Here is an 18,915-nt window from a genome sequence, read left to right on the forward strand (position 1 = left end):
CTCATCTCCAGGAAAAAAAGGCTGAATGAAACCCCGGCTCCTTTGAAGAACAGGAAGAGAGCATTGTGCATTTATTAAAACAACATATAACACAAACTCAGTTACCACCCCGTATGTCTGGGATAGGCACTGAAATACAGCACATCGTCCCTGTGAGTGCTACCCCATCCTCCTGCTCAGGAAAGGAAGTGGGCAGCTGTATCAACCTGGCTTCCTTCCCCTCTTTCTGACAATCGCAGGTCACCCAACGACCAGGCATTATTATACAAAAGTTCCTTTACAAAAAGCACCAAATTGGCATACATATACAAGTATATACAAAAATCACATTTTAAAAATGTACAAAATATTCCATTTTGCACCAATGTAGAAAAGTGTCCTGTGTGATTGTTTCAAGCACGTTTCCAATTCTGGTTCAGTGTCTGCTGGACGCAGCGGTGAGGGTCCTACCCTAGTCCCTGCTCTCTGAGCAGAGAGAAGACATCACCTCCCCATTGCCCCTCCAGGGGCCCCGACCCCTCCCACCCTGGGCCTGTCACCAAGGCCGCTGGGCCCCTCCCCACCCTCTCCAGTCTCTCTGCATCTGGGGGCCTCTCATTCATCCAGCTCCTTACTGGTGTCCTGAAATGAAGAAAAAGATACAGAGGCAAGGGGTGAGACAGGGACTCAGGAGGATCCAAGGCTTACCAAGCTACTGTTTATTCAAACAGGAGTTTGAATAAAACATCAAACTCCAATTCCTCCCGGTCTCTTCCTTTTAAAACCAAAATAGAATTTAGCTGCCCAAATATTATGGATTGTACATCAGTACAAAACTCCAAAAGACTACCTATAGTTTTCAACTGGATTGGAATTTAGTTTCAGTACCTGTGGTTTGAAAAATAACATTTGCAAGCATGTGCTAATTAGCAAACGTCCTTCCTATGCATCAGACACCGTGCTAAACGATTATCTTATTCACTTCCCACTACAACCTTTTGACGTCAGTACTGTTAGACCCCCATACACAGATGAGTAGCCCAAGACTCAGAGAAATTGTGAGCTGCTGTGATTCAGAACCCAGGCTCCTAATCAAACTCTGCCAGGCTGGCAAACTCAGATGCCTACAAGGAGCCAGCAGATAACATGAATGAGTGAAGCAAGCGGGACTGGTGGTGGTGGGGCTGGGCAAACTGGCAAGGGCATGTCCCATTTTTCTTTTCTTTTCTTTGTTTTTTTTTGAGATGGAGTTTCACTCTTTTGCCCAGGCTGGAGTGAAGTGGCGTGATCTCGGCTCACTGCAAGCTCCGCCCCCCTGGGGTTCTAGCGATTCTCCTGCCTCAGCCTCCCAAGTAGCTGGGATTACAGGTGCCCGTCACCACGCCTGGCTAATTTTTGTATTTTTAGTAGAGACGGGGTTTCACCATGTTGGCCAGGATGGTGTCAAACTCCTGACCTCAGGTGATCCGCCTGCCTCGGCCTCCCAAAGTGCTAGGATTACAGGCGTGAGCCACCATGCCAGCGTGTCCCCTTTAAAGGGGAGAGCCACTGCCCAGAGCCAGCACTCTGGGACTACAAGGAAGTTCAAGTCCAGCATTGTTTGCTTTTTCTAAACTTTCACAAGGTGAAAATGCAGATTCTTAGTTCAAATCTCCTTTTTCTTAACCCTTAAAAAAAACCTAATTTTAAAAATGTTAGCAATTAATTTTTTCTTTTAAGAGACAGTGTAGTGTCCTCTGTTGCCAAGGCAAGAGTGCAGTGGCGCAATCATAGCTCACTGCAGCCTCTACCTCTTGGGCTCAAGCAATCCTCCAGCCTCAGCCTTCCGAGTAGCTAGGACTACAGATATGTACCACCATGCCTGGCTAATTTTTAAATTATTTTTGTAAAGACGAGGACTTGCTGTTGACCAGGCTGGTCCCAAACTCCAGGTCTCAAGCAATCCTCCCGCCTCAGCCTCCCAAAGTGCTGGGATTATAGGCACGTACCACCACACCCAGCCAGCAAGTATTTATTTATTTATTTTTTGAGATGGAGTCTCACTCTTGTCACCCAGGCTGGAGTGCAGTGGCACGATCTCGGCTCACTGCAACCTCCACCTCCCAGGTTCAAGCGATTCTCCTGCCTCAGCCTCCTAAGTAGCTGGTACTACAGGCGCCTGCCACCAAATTCAGCTAATTTTTTGTATGTTTAGTAGAGACAGGGTTTCACCATGTTGGCCAGGCTGGCCTTGGCCTCCCCAAGTGCTGGGATTACAGGCTCGAGCCACCGTGCCTGTCCAGCAAGTAGTTTTGTTTGTTTGTTTGTTTGTTTTAATTTAAACACAGTGCTGGCCAAACAAAACACCTCAATGGGCCCAGCCTAGCTCATGAGCCCCTGTCTTTTCCCTCTGCTGTGCCATATTGCTTTCCATTTAAGAAGATCATTTAGATGTGAAATGGGAGCATTTTATTATGAATAGTTTGGGGTTTTTTTCTTTTCTAAGGGTAAAGAGAACAGGACTTTACCCTCAGTAGGGTTAAAGCACGTGCTGGGGACAGTTCTGAGCGTCATTGCCAATGTCTAACACAGTGCTTCACATACAGTAGGCACCTCAGATTGTTGTGGAATGAATGAAGGAACGAAGGAATGGAGGTAGATGAATTTCTTACCTTCTTCCTTCCCTTCTGTGGACTCTTCCTCTTCCTGATCTTCTTCTTCAATGAATTCTTCCTCTTCCTCATCTGTGACAAAAAAACATTTGTGTTAGGATGGGGCCGGTTCCTTGAGGAGCTACTTGAAGAGGAACCAGGCAAGAGAGAGCACGGTCTAAACCCCTTCCTGTGCCCAGTCGGGTCAAACGGCCACACAGCGGCGGCAGTGGTCTGGGAGGGGATGGGCTTGCCAGACCCACGCTGCACAGAGGCCCTGCTCCTGCAATCCCCCGCACTCCGTCCCAGGGAGCTGGGCTCAAGTCACTTCCTTGCTCCAGCAACAGCAGCTTCTATCACCTGCTCGCCTGTGACCAGAGAGGGGACTCTGAGGAAGCGCACTCTGTGCTTCTGCACATCTCTCGGGTAGGCAGATAAACATTGCCTGAGGAGGAAAAACCTCCTCGATCCTCAGGGATCAGAGTCCTTGTCTTGAAGGAAGCTACTTAGCCTATGAGATCTGCTTGTTCAGCAGCCACTGTCCCATTTTCCTCATTCCTTAGCCTGTGGAGGGGAGGGGTGGACATGATGGGGAAGCACTTCTGGAGCCACCTCTGCTCCCTGAAGCTGAGCACCAGAGGGACAGTGACTGAGCTGCAACTCATGTCCCCACTTTTTTATCCTGAGATGTCACCGTCAAGCTTTAACAGGGAACATCTCCCTTCCCCGCTCCTCTCCCAAGCTACCTCCTTAACCTTTTGGGGCCCTGAAGGGGTCACCACAGAATCAGAACATTTGTCAAGAGTATCTTCAGGCCAGGCTTGGTCGCTCACACCTGTAATCCCAGCACTTTGGGAGGCTGAGGCGGTCAGATCACCTGAGGTCAGGAGTTCAAGACCTGCCTGGCCAACATGGTAAAACCCTGTCTCTACTAAAAATACAAAAAATTAGCTGGGTGTGGTGGCATGCACCTGTAATCCCAGCTACTTGGGAGGCTGAGGCAGGAGAATCTCTTGAACCCAGGAGGCAAACGTTGCAGTGAGCTGAGATCACACCATTGCACTCCAACCTGGGCGACAAGAGCAAAACTCCGTCTCAAAAAAAAAAAAAAAAAATAGTATCTCCAAAATGACAACCAAAATTCCAGCCAAGTAACTGATATCAGAGTATAACCCAGGGAGTTCTGTTGTTTAATCATTGTCACAATGACTACATTTAATAGCAGTTGCTGAGTACTTACTATGTGCCAAGTAGTGTGCTCAGTGTTGAATCTGCATCGTCTTATAAAATCCTCACAAGAGTTTTGCAAGCCAAATGGCCCTCAGTAGAATCTGCACAGGCTACTTGCCAGCTGTGTGGCCTTGAACAAGTGGCTTACCCTCTCTGAGCTTTAAGTTCCCTCAACTACAAAATAGAGATGGTAACAGAACCTATCCCATGAAGTTGTGTTAAATGATAAAACTTATGTTAAGGGCTTAGCGCCTAGGACATACAGAATATTCAGTAACTGGTGACTGTTGGTACTCTCCTCATTTTACTTGTGGAGAAACTGAGGCTCAGGGAGATTAGGAAGGCCAGTGCAGGACTTCACAATGTTATGTTCACACCGTATGACCCACTCTTGAATATCTATTTCTTTCTTTTTTTTTTTTTTTTGAGATGGAGTTTCACTCCTGTTGCCCAGGCTGGAGTGCAATGGCGTGATCACAGCTCACTGCAACCTCCTCCTCCCGGATTCAAGCAATTCTGCTGCTTCAGCCTCCCGAGTTAGCTGGGATTACAGGCATGCACCACCATGCCCAGCTAATTTTGTATTTTTAGTAGAGACGGGGTTTCTCCGTGTTGGTCAGGCTGGTCTGGAACTCCTGACCTCAGGTGATCCACCTGCCTTGGACCCCCAAAGTGCTGAGATTACAGACGTGAGTCACTGTGCCTGGCTGACCCACTCTTGAATATCTTAGCTTAGGGAAGCTGACAGTGGAGCAGCTCACTACAGCAGTGGATGTCCCCAAGGCCATTGGTGTCTCTGCTTTGGGATGTATTTTGTCCTTACCTATGAATGGGGTATATCTGGGGCTCTGAAAACAGACTTAGCACCAGCTACTGAAGGTTTGTAGGAGAGCGACACAGGAGGTGCCAAGAAGCTCTTCTCTTTCTCACGCCAGCCATTTACAGTTCTTCCTTGTTCCTTCATCATCCCCTTGTCCCCCAACCTCAGCTGGTCATTGGAGCACCACCTCTCAGACCAACGCAACAGTCAGCAATGTGGGATCTGCCCTCTCTTTCTCTGTTGCCTTTTAGCTGTGTTTCCCTTTTAGCTGTGTGACCTTTAGCAAATTAACATATTTGCTTCCATTCAGTTTCTTCATTTCCTTTGTTATTTTCACCCTTATTATTGTTACGGTTGCATTGTTACAATTATTATAGGCACTCTATGGAAGAGTAATTATAAACAGAAATGAGGACATGATGTTGATCAATTAAGGTGCCTGGGTATCATAGGTGATAGCATTAAGAAACTGAAGCTAAGACTACCTTTAGGCAATAACTAGTACATCTTTAGGGCTCTACAGGACCTTTCTGCATTGATATCTGATTTTTTGCAACAGCACCATGAGTTGGTCATTATTAGAGGGCTCACTTCTAACCTGACTTTTTAAATTAGAAAATAAAACTCAGGCAGAAGGGGGCTTGCCAAAGGTCACACAGATAAACAAATGACAGAACCAGGATTTAAACTCAGGACTGTCTGATTCCAGAGGGCATATTATTTCTACTGCCCCAAGAGGCCTCCCTGCCATGGATCCATATGTAATTTATGAAGCAGGAATTCTGCACCAGGCACTGTGCTAGGCTCTGGGCTCATCTAGAAATCGACTATATGAATTTTTTTTTTTTTTTTTTTGAGATGGAGTTTGGCTGGCTCTTTTGCCCAGGCTGGAGTGCAGTGGCACAATCTCGGCTCACTGCAACCTCTACCTCCTGGATTCAAGTGATTCTCCTGCCTCAGCTTCCCAAGTAGCTGGAATTACAGGCACATGCCATCACGCCTGGCTAATTTTTGTATTTTTAGTAGAGATGAGGTTTCACCACGTTGGTCAGGCTGGTCTCAAACTCCTGACCTCAAGTGATCCGCCCACCTTGGCCTCCCAAAGTGCTGGGATTACAGGCATGAGCCACCACAGCCGGCCAGAAGTTGGCTATATGAGTTTGATTGATATTTGGGGATCTTTATTAGTGTATCTGCCTCCCCATCGGGCTCAGTTGGAGGGATGCTGGTTTCCAGGGGTCAGGCAGGCAAATAGACAAGTGGCATCACCACCTCCTTTACCTGTCCCAAAGTCAATGGCTCTCAGGGCGTCTGCTATGTGCTCTAAATCCAAAGTAAAGAAGTCCATGTTCTCAAAGCCCTGCTCTGTCTTCCCCAGCTGGCAGCCCTTGGAAGCTTCCACAATGCTGCAGGGGAGACAGAAAGAGAGGCAGGATGAGGTCTCTGGGGCTCAGTGCAGGGAAGAGAGGGCACATGCTTTGCCACGCCCAGGCCTTCTACCCAGAGGCTCCCCTGGAGGGATGGAGTATTTCCTCTCCAACCTCAAGCACAAGGAGTGGTCCAAAAAGTCAGGGATGCAAAGGGTCAGGGAAGCCAGCCTAGAGTGAGACCCTCCCAGCAGGCCTAATGCCCAGGATGAGGCTTCCTGGACAGAGGTCCTGGTGGGAACTAGGTGCTTGGATCATAGCCTCTAGGAAGACACTGACCTTTTGATGAGTTGCTTGGCAGTCTGCAGGGGGAGAGAGAACAAAGGATTAGGACCGCAGAAGAGGTAACCGCAGGAAATCAGCAAAACTAGTGAACTAGGTGTTGTAGGTAGATATTTGGTGCCATTCCCTAGCCCAGTTGTGACCTGCTCCCCACCCCAAACTGAGCAGAATCTGGAACTTTTCCCTCTGTCTGTGGTCTGTACAGGTCTTGGTCATCACCCTAGGACCCACTGTCTTGACAGGAAGCTTGGATTCTAGGGGTATCAATCCCAAAACTCCTAAACCCTGAACTCCCCAATCCTAACCACCTTTTCATACCTAATGTCTAGCAAAAAGCCTGGCCCACAGTAGAAGCCTAGAACATTTTTATTGAACTGAACTATGAAGTCTTATAACTGAGCCTTTTCTGTCCTCCCCAACAAGCTCTTTGAGGGCAGGGCTGTGTCTGGTTTATCTCCTTGTCTTCCACCTCAGTGCCTGGCCTACAGTAGGGGCTCAATTAATAGTCTGTAGATGGGACACTGTATTTTGCAGCTTACAAAGTCATTTCATAAACATCCTCTTATCTTATCATCATAAAATCAGTAAGAGGAAGGTGGGGGGTGTTACATGCCCATTTGACAGATGAGGAAACTGAGGCTCACAGAGGTTTAAATGGCTTTTCCAAGGGCCCATGGGTGGTCAGTGGGGAAGCATAACTTGAACCTTAGAGCTGTAGAGTTGAACTGACCCCACCCAGACCCTTCTAGTCCTGCTCACCAAGAGGAAGGTGGCTCCCCCAGGCTCGTCCAGGGACTGGATGGCAGTTTCCACCAGCTTTGTGGACTTGTCCAGCTGCTCCTGGTACTGCTGGATGAGGGCCTCGATGAAGCTAAGCTTTTTCTCCTGCTCCTGCGTGATCCGCTGCAGCAACTCACTTTTCTTCTCATCCAGGATGGCATACAACGTGTCAAACTTCTGGCTCAGCTCTTCCTTTACCTGGTGACTGTTCTCCTGAGGACGGAAGTCTTGTGGTCACGTTCTGTAGGGTCTTTATTCCCTGCCCACTACACTGCCTTCCTAGGACAGTAGCAAGGAATCTAAAGCTAGAAGAGATCTCACTACATACATCCCCACACTACAGAAGAAGAAACAAAGACTTAACAAGAAGAAAACACTCATCTGGCCTCACAGCTATTTAGTACGCCAGTGATATTTGGAGGATGATGCCTTGAAAAACAGCTAGCCCCTTCTTCCAAAATAGAGGCTCTAGGGTCACATGACACAACATGTTCTTCCTTGTTCCTGCACCCTCCCCCTGTCCCCCAACCTCAGCTGGTCATTGGAGCATCACCTCTTAGACCAATGCAACAGTCACCCAATGTGGGATCTGCCCTGTCTTTCTCTGTTGCCCTTTTTTTTTTTTTTTTTTTGAGATGGAGTCTCGCTCTGTTGCCCCCGCTGGAGTGCAGTGGTGCGATCTTGGCTCACTGCAACCTCCACCTCCCAGGTTCAAGCGATTCTCCTGCCTCAGCCTCCCGAGTAGCTGGGATTATAGATACGCTACCACGCCTGGCTATTTTTTTGTATTTTTAGTAGAGATGGGGTTTCACCATGTTGGCCAGGATGGTCTCGATCTCCTGACCTCATGATCCACCCAGCTTGACCTCCCAAAGTGCTGGGATTATAGGCATGAGCCACTGTGCCCAGCTCTCTGTTGCCTTTTAGCTGTGTTTCCCTTTTAGCTGTGTGACCTTCAACAAATTAACGTTTCCTGGGCCTCCCATATGTCCCAGTTCACACTCTTCCCTCCCTTTCAGGACCAAGACTGGATTCGGGAAGCTCTGCATCATTTGGTCCTAGGAGAGGTGGAAAAACAGCTCCTTTCCTAGCACCCTCCTCAACCGAAGCTCCCTTCTCTCTATGTTCTTTTCTATAAAATGGGTGTGACAATAGCATCTCATCAGACCGGGAGCCTCTCGTGGGTGATCACAATGTTCCCCTCCTTCCTACCCTTCGCCCAACTCTTCATCCACTAGCAATTATGATGACCCCTTCCCCTCATCTCATCTCCAGATCCCTACCCCAAGTGAACATGGAAAATCGTGGAAGCTTTTTTCAGGGATAGAAAAGTTCCCTTCTGCCCTCAACAGTCTCACTACTCAACATGTGGTCTGTGGACCCAGCAGCTTGGGCAAATCCTGGGAACTGGCTAGAAATGCAGCTCTTATGCCTCATTCCAAACCAACTGAATCAAAACCTGAATTTCAACATGATCCCAGCGTAATTTTCACGCACTTCAAAGTTTGGGAAGTGTTGGTCTACAGCACACTGAAGAACTGTGCTCTGAAAACAATTTGTGCTGAATAAATACTGAGAATTATTGATGGGACACTCCCTGAGCTCAGGGACCACGTCTGTCTGGTTCACTCCTCCATCCCCCACATCTTGGGTGGGGCCGGACACACAGCTGTGCTTAAGAAGCATTTGTTGAGAGACTGGATGAATGGATTAGTCCCTCCCCTGCCATCCCTGCTTGACCGCCCCAGGCTCCGGGCCCCAACCTTTAGCCACAACCTATGGGTGAGCCTTCCCCAGAGACCAGGCTGCCCTGGAAAGCTCCAAATCCCCAGGCAGGACTATTCTGTCCGCTCACCTTGGTCACTCGACGGGAATCCTCCAGCTGAGTGATGATGGTCTGCACACGGTCATTCCCCGCCACCAGCATGGAGATACAGTTATTCAGTTCAGTCTAGATGGGGGTGTGGGGGTCAGGAGAGGAGAGACACAAATAGCCTCAGGGCCTACCCACTGGGGCATGGCAGCAACATGGCTTCCTCCCTCCCCTCTCTGCTAGAAAGAGCCTCCAGTAGGGATCTGGCCCCTCTTTCGGGTATAGCTCAGCTCCAGAGTAGAGGATATTAGAAAGATACTGCATCCCTTATTTTACAGGTGAGGCCAACAGCAGGCAAGTGAGCTGCCCAAAACACACAGCAAGGAACTGACAGAGGAGGGGCTTGTTTCTAAGAAAGAAGGGACAAAAAAAGAAATAGAGTTGGAGACGTCTAGAAGAGAGAGACCTAGAGAAGAGTGGGGAGTAGGGAAGAGAGAGTATGGAAAGGGGGTGGCTACGGCTTACTGCACGGACAGGGTGGTGGGCCCTCACAGGCCCAGGGACCCAGGGAGAAGGCTCTAAGCTGCCTCCTGCTGTGGGGGAATGTGAAGTCTTGGAGAAGAGGTGAGAGGCACAGGAAGAGGTGTCTGGGGGATGGAGAAGCCGTGGCCTGAGAGGACCCCAGTGGCCTGGCTGGGGCGTCTGACCGCTCCCCTGTGGCCACACCCAGGTGCTCTCGAGTGGCTCTAAGTATAACCATGAGCTCAGCTGCCTCCCCTAGGAAGGCCAGGGCTGCTGTCCCTGTGGCCTGGGAAGTCCCTCCAGAGAGACTATTCCTGAAAGGCCAGATCAGCAGATCTACAGGGATCAAATCTGCCTCCTGAATCATCAGGCCGTGCCCAGCAGGCCCAGGCTGGGGGTAAAAGTGGCTGGAGACAGTACCTTTTGTCCCTGGAAGACACTCTGCAATGGGGCCACCTCGCAGGCCTTGTGGATCCCAAACACCTTGCACATGGAGCAGGTGGGCACCTCACACGTGAGACAGTAGATGTTGATTTTCTCATCTTCGTGCTCCTTGCACATGGGGTGACTGCCCTTCTGCAGCGGCCGACTGCAGTGGAGAACAGTCACAAGTCATGGGGGTCCTGTGTCCCTGCATCCCCCTCCCCAGCTCCAATGCACCAGTCGCAGCTACTGGGGAGGCTGAGGCAGGAGGATTGCTCAGCCCAGGAATTCGAGGCTGCAGTGTGTCTGTGAATCTCCAGATTTATGCCCTGGGCCCTCAGTGTTTGGCTGCCCTAAAATCTTTCATCTTCTGGGGACCAAGGACTTGGGAAGCCAATGACACCAAATCTGTCCCCACATCCTAAGAGGGAGTTAGCCTGAGGCTCTGCCAGTGCCAAGGACACAGAAAGGGCCATAGAATTCCAGAGTCAGACCTGGAGATGTTTTAGAGAAGAGGAAACTGGGCTCCAGAAAAGTGAATTGACTCGTCCAAGGTCATACAGCAAGTAAGGGCAGAGGAGCCTAGAGTTCAGTTGCTCTAATTATAGTCACCTTAGCTTTGGTTACTGCAGGCTGGGCTCTGAGCTGAGAAATTTATACTGATGGCCTCATTTAATTCTATATTTAATCTACCAGACTGTAACCTCCATCAAGGTAGGGAAACTTGCCTGTTTTCTTCACCCCTGTGCCTACACTGTACAGTGCCTGGCATAGAGGAGGTGGTAATTAAACAAAGGTAGAAAGAATAAATCAATAAGGCTGGGCGCAGTGGCTCACGCCTGTAATCCCAGCACTTTGGGAGGCCGAGGTGGGAGAGTCACCTGAGGTCAGGAGTTCAAGACCAGCTTGACCAATATGATGAAACCCCGTCTCTACTAAAAACTCAAAAAAATTAACCAGGCATGGTGGCATGCACCTGTAATCCCAGCTACTCGGGAGGCTGAGGCAGGAGAATCACTTGAAACCAGGAGGCAGAGGTTGCGGTGAGCCGAGATCGCACCATTGCACTCCAGCCTGGGCAACAAGAGCAAAACTCCGTCTCAAAAAAAAAAAAAAAGAAAGAAAGAAAGAAAGAATAAATTAATAACTAGCATAGGAATCAATAATATTCACCATCTTGAATTTATTAACATTCTCCATAAGAAAACAATTTTTTTAAAAAAGAATATTCACCACAGAGTCAGTCATACCCTCTCTCTTTCTCTTAGCTTCACCACTTTCTAGCTGTATGGCCTTGGATAAACCTCTGACCCTCTCTGAGCCATGAGGTTGCCCCTGAGGCTCAGAGAAGGAGCAGTGTGTATGCCCCATGTCATGGTGACTGGTGAGTGGGTAGCCCAGGGCTGTCCAACAGCCCAGCACAAGCCTGACTTCTAGTCCAGAGATTCTTTCAAAGGCCCAAGTCTCTTCCTCTACTTTCTCCCCTAACACATATGCTTAGAACTACCTTTCTTCCTTGAGACCTCCAACCTGTTATTTGTGCTTCTCTTGGGACATCAGTCATTTCCTAACCTAGATTCATTGGGGCCTGGGGGGGATTTTTTTGTTGTTGTGTTGTTCTGTTTTGATTTTTTGCCCAGGCTGGAGTGCAGTGGTGTGATCTTAGCTCACTGCAAACTCCACCTCCTGAGTTTCTGATGCCTCAGCCTCCTGAGTAGCTGAGATTACAGACGTGCACCACCATGCCCAGCTAATTTTTGTATTTTTTAGTAGAGATGGGGTTTCACCATGTTGGGCAGGCTGGTCTCAAACTCCTGGCCTCATGTGATCCACCCACCTCAGCCTCCCAAAGTGCTGGGATTACAGGCGTGATCCACAGCACCCAGCCTTTGTTTGTTTGTTTGTTTGTTTGTTTGTTTTGAGACAGGGTCTCACCATATTGTCCAGGCTGGAGTGCAGCAGCGATTCACAGATACACTGCAGCCTCGAACTCCTGGGCTGAGCAATCCTCCTACCTCAGTCTCCCCAGTAGCTGCAACTGGTGCATACCACCATGCCTGGTGTAGATTCGATTTTTTGAGTCTTCTGTCTCCGGCTAGACTATACACTCATTGAAAGCCAACACTACCTTCGATTCCCAGCCCCAAACAGAACAGGCATCTTGCAAATGTCAAATGGTGACTGTTCCCATCAGTGTCAATGCCTCACCTCCAAACAGCCTTACATGACTGATCACACCCTGGGCTCTATTGTCCTCTGAAGTTCTTAAATATGCCCCTTTCCAGGCTTGTCTTTTTGCATAGTTTACCCCAGGGTCCCTATGCTGGCAGGGGTCTGCCATTGCCACCTGCCTCCATCCCCTGATAAAGGGATGGCAGGGAGTGCAGAGGTGAGGCAAGAGCCTGAGGGTCTGGTTCATGCGCCCGCAGCCCTCCCAGATGCCCACCCTCCCAAGCTCAGACTTTGGCATCGGGGTTCATATCCAGATTGTTCTCTTACATTCATTTTTGTGATTTTGGACTAGTGATTTCACCTCTCTTGCCTGTGGGATTCCTCCCAGAACTACTGCAATCTGTCTGTAGAAATTGTCTATAATGAATGTAGAGTGCCCGGCACAGAGCAGACCCTCAATAGAGGGCAGCTGTCATTGTCATTCAACTATGCGGAAAGGCCTCAAAGGTTCACATATAACATGCTCTTCATAGGTCGGCACTGGGTAGGCTAACATTGGTGTGGAATTGATTTTATTATTCCTTATGATCAACAATATGTTTGCATTTTGTAGTGTTGTGCTCTAGCAACATGAGAGGCAATCTAGCTCAGCAATTAAGAATATTCACCGGCCGGCCAGGCGCGGTGGCCCACGCCTGTAATGCCAGAACTTTGGGAGGCCAAGGCGGGCGCATTACCTGAGGTCAGAAGTTCAAGACCAGCCCGGCCAACGTGGTGAAACCCTGTCTCTACAAAAAATACAAAAATTAGCTGGGTGTGGTGGTGCACGTCTGTAATCCCAGCACTTTGGGAGGCTGAGGCGGGCAGATCACCTGAGGTCAGGAGTTTGAGACCAGCCTGGCCAACATGGTGAAACCCTGTCTCTACTAAAAATATAATAATTAGCTGGGCACGTTGGCACGCATCTGTAGTCCCTGCTACTCGGGAAGCTGAGGCTGGGGAATCACTTGAACCGAGGAGGTGGAGGTTGCAGTGAGCCAAGATCGTACCACTGCCCTCTAGCCTGGGCAACAGACCAAGACTCTGCCTCAAAAAAAAAAATTAAAAAAATAAAAAATATTCTCACACCCTCTCTCTCTTAGCTCTACCACTTGCTAGCTGTGTGGGCTTGGACAAATCTCTGATCCTCTCTGAGCTTCCATTTCCTCATGGTAAAATGGAGACAGGAATGCCTTCCCGGGTTACTATGAGAAGCAGATAGGAAAAATGCCTGAAAGTACTTAGAACAGCGCCTGCACACAATAGGTACCCAATAAATGGTTGATACATTAACCATTTTCCATTAATATCTTATTTGACAGCCACAATAACAGATCTTACTGTTTCTGTTTGCAGACAGAGGAAATGAAGCTCTAAAGGCTTACCCAGCATGGTACAGTACATTAGTCACAGAGGCTGACTAGCAAGCACAGTTCCCCGGGTCAGGGTTTTTTCACCTGAGATCTGGTCTGTCACCTTCCCCTGGGCTGGGCACTGCCTGCAGGCAGATGCCTTGGTGAAGGCTTTGGACCTTAAAGGCTGTGAGGTCAGCACTCCTGGAGTCTTACCAGGATGTCCTGATTTGTAAAGATCTTTCCTGGAGCTGTGTCTCTCCCAAATTTTTGTGTTGTGTTGTGTTGTGTGTGTGTGTGTGTGTGTGTTTAGATGGAGTCTCACTCTGTCACCCAGGCTGGAGTGCAGTGGCACGATCTCTGCTCACTACAACCTCCGCCTCCCTTGTTCAAGCAATTCTCCTGCCTCAGCCTCCTAAGTAGCTGGGATGACAGGCACGCGCCACCACGCCTGGCTAATTTTTGTATTTTTAGTAGAGACGGGGTTTCACCATGTTGGCCAGTCTGGTCTCCAACTCCTGACCTCGAATGATCCACACACCTTGGCCTCCCAAAGTGCTGGGATTACAGGTGTGGGCCACCGCACCCGGCCTCTCAGTGTTTTTGTCTGTTTGAGGCATGGTCTCACTGTCACCCAGGCTGGAGTGCAGTAGCACAATCATGGCTCTGCAGCCTTGACCTCCCTGGCTCAACAATTCTCCTGAAGAGCTGGGACTACAGGCATGCCCCACCACGCCCAGCTAGTTTTTAAACTTTGTAGAAACAGGGTCTCACTATGTTGCCCTGACTTGTCTTGAACTCCTGGCCTCAAACAATCATCCCACCTTGGCCTCCCAGAGTGTTGGGATTATGGGCATGAGCCACCATGCCTGGCCCTCTCTCCCCAGTTTGAGGCCAACCCTTCACAACCTCCACCACTCACACATTCTGCCTATGAATGAGCTGCTATTTTATTAGCAGGAAGACTCAGAGCTAGATTGACTGGGTCAACTCCCAGCTCTTTCACTTCCCAGCTGGGAAACCTTAGCTAATTGATTTCACTTCTTGAGCCTCAGTTTCCTCATCTGTGAAATGAGGATAATAAAGTCATGCCTGATTCACAGAGTTATTGGGAGGTACTTAGATGAAGCATTCCCAGTGCCTGACGCTGTTCCTCATGGCACACGGGAGAGTAGCTGTTGCTATCCTTATAGACAACCTGGCTGTTTCTCACCGGGCATTTTCTCTGCTGACCAGAGCCACTTAGCTGGCCCCAGGGCCTTTCTCTCCCTCTCACATCTCATCTTTCCCCCAGTCTCTGTCTTGGTATTGCCTGGAAGGGCAGCCTAATGTCTGGGCCCCTTCCCATCCGCTGAGCAATCCTGAGAGCTGGGTTGGGGTGTATGGGTCTCCAGTCCTGTCTCTGAATGGCTTGTGTAGCTAGTCCAGCTAGAGGCCTGGATCCTGAGCAGATGAAGGAGGGGGAAGGAGCGTGGGGGATCTAGGCACAGCATGGCTGGGAAGGAGGGCGGGCCCCCAGCAGGCACGAGAACCGACCTGGAGCACTCCTGTTTGTAGATGTCGATGATGTTCTCCACCAGCAGGTTCCTCTGCAGGCCGTACACTCCGTGACGATCCATGATCACCTCGTGGCGGCAGGTGGGGCAGCGGAAACGGCCTCCAGACATGGACACTGAGCTGCCCCGGCTGGTCCAGTAGGGATTTGCAGCCTGCAGGTGGCAAAGGTCAAGGTGAGGCCTGGGCTCCCTACTTAGCCCTTCTCTTTTCTAATCTCCTCTTATCCTTTCCTCTGCCTATCCGAACCACCCCCGTCAAACCTAACAACCTGGAGCTCTGCAGACTGTGATGAGAACCAGTCCTCACACACAGAGCACCTGAGAAGCAGCTAAGCAATCGTCAGGATGGGGAGGCAGGAGACCTGGGTTCAAGTCATGTTTATTCTCTGAGTGATTTTGGGCAAGCAACCTTATCTGTGTAGGCCTCAGTTTGCCCACTTATGAAATAGGTATTACAATGAGAGCAAGCTCCTAAGGCTGCTACTTTAAAGATAATATCGTGAAAGAACATTTTGTAAAGTGTCCATGGGGAACCTCGCATCCTGCCTCCCAGCCAGGACATCTACCCCCTTCCTTTCTCGGGGAGTTGGAGCCCCTTCTGCCCCCATATCATAGGGAACAGCCTCAAAAGGGAAGATGCCTCTACTGCCCACTGCCTCCCTGACACCCTCCTCCCAAAGCTCTGGGCCTCTTGCCACCAGGACCTGGCTCCAGCCCCAGGGGTCTGGTTTCTCTCTCCTGTCCCTGCCTACCCCGCTTATCACTTGAGGCATTTGACTCTTGATTGGAGAGTCAACAGCAGTGCTCAGGGCAGGGGTGGGGGAGCTGTGGGCAGGGCAGGGAGGGGAAACTTGTGTTATGGAGAAGAACCGCAGCAGCCAGAGCCGCCTCCCAGCCCCCTCTCAGCCCTGTCCAGAGGCCTCTGCAGGGGTTCACTTCCAAGGGGAAAGAGGCTGTCCAGGTTGGAAGTCTAAGGGAGAAGGGTTTCATCACAGGGAAGCCAAGTAGCCACCTGGGGACCCCAAATGAAGCTGCACCCGGCACTTACCTGGAAGATGTCATTGGCACACTTCCGGCACAGGTTGTGCTGGCACGGCAAGATGACCACTGGCTTGGTAAACATCTCCAGGCAGATAGGGCAGATCAGCTGCTTCTCCAAGTTCTCCATGGGATTCCCATCCTGGATCAGGCTCGACTTATAATCCATTCTGTGGGAAGGAATGAGAGCCACGCCTAGCTGCCTCCTCTACTAACTTTGCTCTAAGTAGACCTGGGGGTCTTGCCTTTGTCACAAAACACCGGGTCGGATCCTGTTGGCTTCCTTCTCCTGGTGCCCGAATTCTGTCTTGGTCTGAGGCCCCTCTGATATTTATAGCTAGATCTTGGTCACATGAGCCCCAGGAGGGGACCAGCTGAGCATTCCGATGCCAAGCGGCTGGTGGGGCTTGAGTTTCCTCCAGGCCTGAAAGACTGGCCCTCTCAAATCACATGCAGGGATGAGCAATCACTATTCTGCTGGGACGGGGGTCATAAACAAGAACAGCCTGTTCAGAGGCAGGCTTAGGGCAAGACTGGGTACCCAGAGCTTCCTCCAGAAATTGGTCTCCCCCCGGCACCAGGCTAGTGGGTCAGGGATGGGACCCAGCAAGTGAGCCACGGGGATTCAAGGGGTTAATAGCCAATGCTATGATGAAAATGTTCGATGAATGAATTTTATTCATTCATCAGACATTTTTCTGAGTACTAGTATATACATCAGGCAACTAGTATACATCACAACGTGACAGATGGATGAGTGATCTGTTTCCCTGCCCCGAGAAACTCACAGCCCAGGAAGGGAGATAGAAAGGATTGTGCAGTGGCACGATCTCTGCTCACTGCAACCTCCACCTCCCAGGTTGAAGGGAGTCTCCTCCTTCAGCCTCCCAACCTCAACCCCCTCCCAGCCCCACGCAACCCCTCACTGACCTAAATCAATTCCATCCCCTCCTCTGGAGTCCTGGGCAGCTCCTAGATGGAAGGGTCGGGCAGCCCCTCTCTCTGAGCCCATCCCTCTGCCTCAGACTTCAGCACAGCATTTTGCTGGAGATGATGGAGACCCCCACTCCAACCAGCCCATCCTCCATCCCTCGGCCACTTATTTCACTTAGTGCTGAAAAGCCTCCTTTGAAACACAGTCCAGTCCCCTCATCTTACAGATTTTGAAATGGGACTAGAGAAGAAAAGGATTATATTCAAAGTCAGTTGGAAAGTAAGTGGCAGCCGGGCGTGGTGTCTCACACCTGTAATCCCAGCACTTTGGAAGGCTGAGGCAGGTGGATCACTTGAGGTCAGGAGTTCGAGACTAGCCTGGCCAACATGGTAAAACCCTGTCTCTACTAAAAACACAAAACTTAGCTGGGTGTGGTGGTACGCGCCTGTAATCCCAGCTACTCAGGAGGCTGAAGCAGGAGAATCACTTGAACCCAGGAGGTGGAGGTTGCAGTGAGCTGAGATCGCGCCACTGCACTCCAGCCTGGGTGACAAGAGTGAAACGCCATCTCCAAACAAAACAAAACAAAACAAAAAAGAAAGAAAATAAGTGGCAAAGACAGAAATTTTATTCATTCATCAGACATTTTTCTGAGTACTAGTATACATCAGGTAACTAGTATACATCACAACGTGACAGATGGATGAGTGATCTGTTTCCCTGCCCCAAGAAACTCACAGCCCAGGAAGGGAGATAGAAAGGAAAAACCCAGAGGGCACAGTGACTCACGCCTGTAAACCCAGCACTTTAGGAGGTCGAGGTGGGCAGACCACGAGGTCAGGAGATGGAGACCATCCTGGCCAACATGGTGAAACCCTGTCTCTACTAAAAATACAAAAATTAGCTGGGTATGATGGCAGGTGCCTATAATCCCAGCTACTCAGTAGGCTGAGGCAGGAGAATCGTTTGAACCCAGGAAGAGGAGGTTGCGGTGAGTCGAGATTGCACCACCGCACTCCAGCCCGGTGATAGAGTGAGACTCTGTCTCCAAAAAAAAAAAAAAAAGAAAAAGAAAAAAGAAAGAAAGAAAGGGAAACCCCTCATGCGGTGCCACAAAGCCCTGCCTGGACACTTAGAAGGCGTCCCTCAGCTCGCTGCACACATTTTAACTTTTCTCCATGTATTTTAGGACATCTTCCACGTTGGCAAGTAGAAGTCATTAGAGCAGTTCCAGTGGCTGGTTTTTTTTTTTTTTTTTCCCGAGATGTAGTTTCACTGTGTTGCCCAGAGGCTGGAGTGCAGTGGCGCCATCTCAGCTCACTGCAACCTCCGCCTCCCAGGTTGAAGTGAATCTCCTGCCTCAGCCTCCTGAGTAGCTGGGACTACAGGCATGTGTCATGACACCCGACTAATTTTTGTATTTTTAATAGAGACAGGTTTTCACCATGTTAGCCAGGCTGGTCTCGAACTCCTGACCTCAGGCAATCCACCTGCCTCGACCTCCCAAAGTGCTGGGATTACAGGCGTGAGCCACTGTACCTGGCCTCCAGTAGCTGTTTTTAAGGTAGCATCTAATGAAAGGACTGTGGGGTCATCTGGTCCAAGGCGATGGGGCAGAGATATGGAGCAGTGGTATCAGGGCCCAAGATGAGCCTAAGAGGCTGTGGAATACTCAGGAGGAGTATGAAGGATTTCAGGAAAGAGGAATGATGGGAGCAATGAGACAAGACATAGAGCAGAGAAGCAAACCTTGGAAGAGAGGAAATGGGAGAAGAAGAGGGACAAGTTACAGAAAAAAGAAGAGGCCTTAAAAACAAAGGGCTGGAGGATTTCGAGGAGAGAGTTGTCCCCCCAAAATTTTGCTGAGCACTTAGGTTTTGCTGAGCACTTACTATGTGCTATGCATTGTGCTAAATGC

The 18,915-nt window shown here is 49.7% G+C and overlaps 1 protein-coding gene across 1 annotated transcript, besides 1 other annotated feature; it reads right to left on the minus strand.

Annotated features, from left to right (window-relative positions):
* On the minus strand, window positions 39-16,368 carry TRIM63 (tripartite motif containing 63). The gene is made up of 9 exons (NM_032588.4): window positions 16,074-16,368; window positions 15,006-15,178; window positions 9,904-10,072; window positions 9,004-9,099; window positions 7,128-7,361; window positions 6,366-6,388; window positions 5,941-6,065; window positions 2,631-2,702; window positions 39-621 (listed from the first exon to the last, which is right to left on the minus strand). Exons 1-9 carry the CDS (start codon window positions 16,230-16,232, stop codon window positions 611-613), a joined length of 1,062 nt encoding a protein of 353 aa, NP_115977.2. The 5' UTR covers window positions 16,233-16,368; the 3' UTR covers window positions 39-610.
* Window positions 2,696-2,990: a silencer, noted in NCBI's record as "tiled region #4919; K562 Repressive DNase matched - State 8:EnhW". NCBI's record gives its function as "represses a minimal TATA promoter and a strong SV40 promoter by Sharpr-MPRA in K562 cells {active_cell/tissue: K562}" and the evidence as "EXISTENCE:reporter gene assay evidence [ECO:0000049][PMID:27701403]".

The sequence above is a fragment of the Homo sapiens genome, chromosome 1 (assembly GCF_000001405.40).
Source record: "Homo sapiens chromosome 1, GRCh38.p14 Primary Assembly".
NCBI lineage: Eukaryota > Metazoa > Chordata > Mammalia > Primates > Hominidae > Homo > Homo sapiens.

Coding starts and splice junctions, on each gene's coding strand:
- TRIM63 (NM_032588.4), bottom strand. CDS start 16,232: ATGGATTATAAGTCGAGCCTGATCCAGGATGGGAATCCCATGGAGAAC. Junction 15,179..16,073: donor GTGCCAATGACATCTTCCAG/GTAAGTGCCGGG, acceptor TGCCACCTGCAG/GCTGCAAATCCCTACTGGAC. Junction 9,100..9,903: donor GTGTCTTCCAGGGACAAAAG/GTACTGTCTCCA, acceptor ACCCCCATCTAG/ACTGAACTGAATAACTGTAT.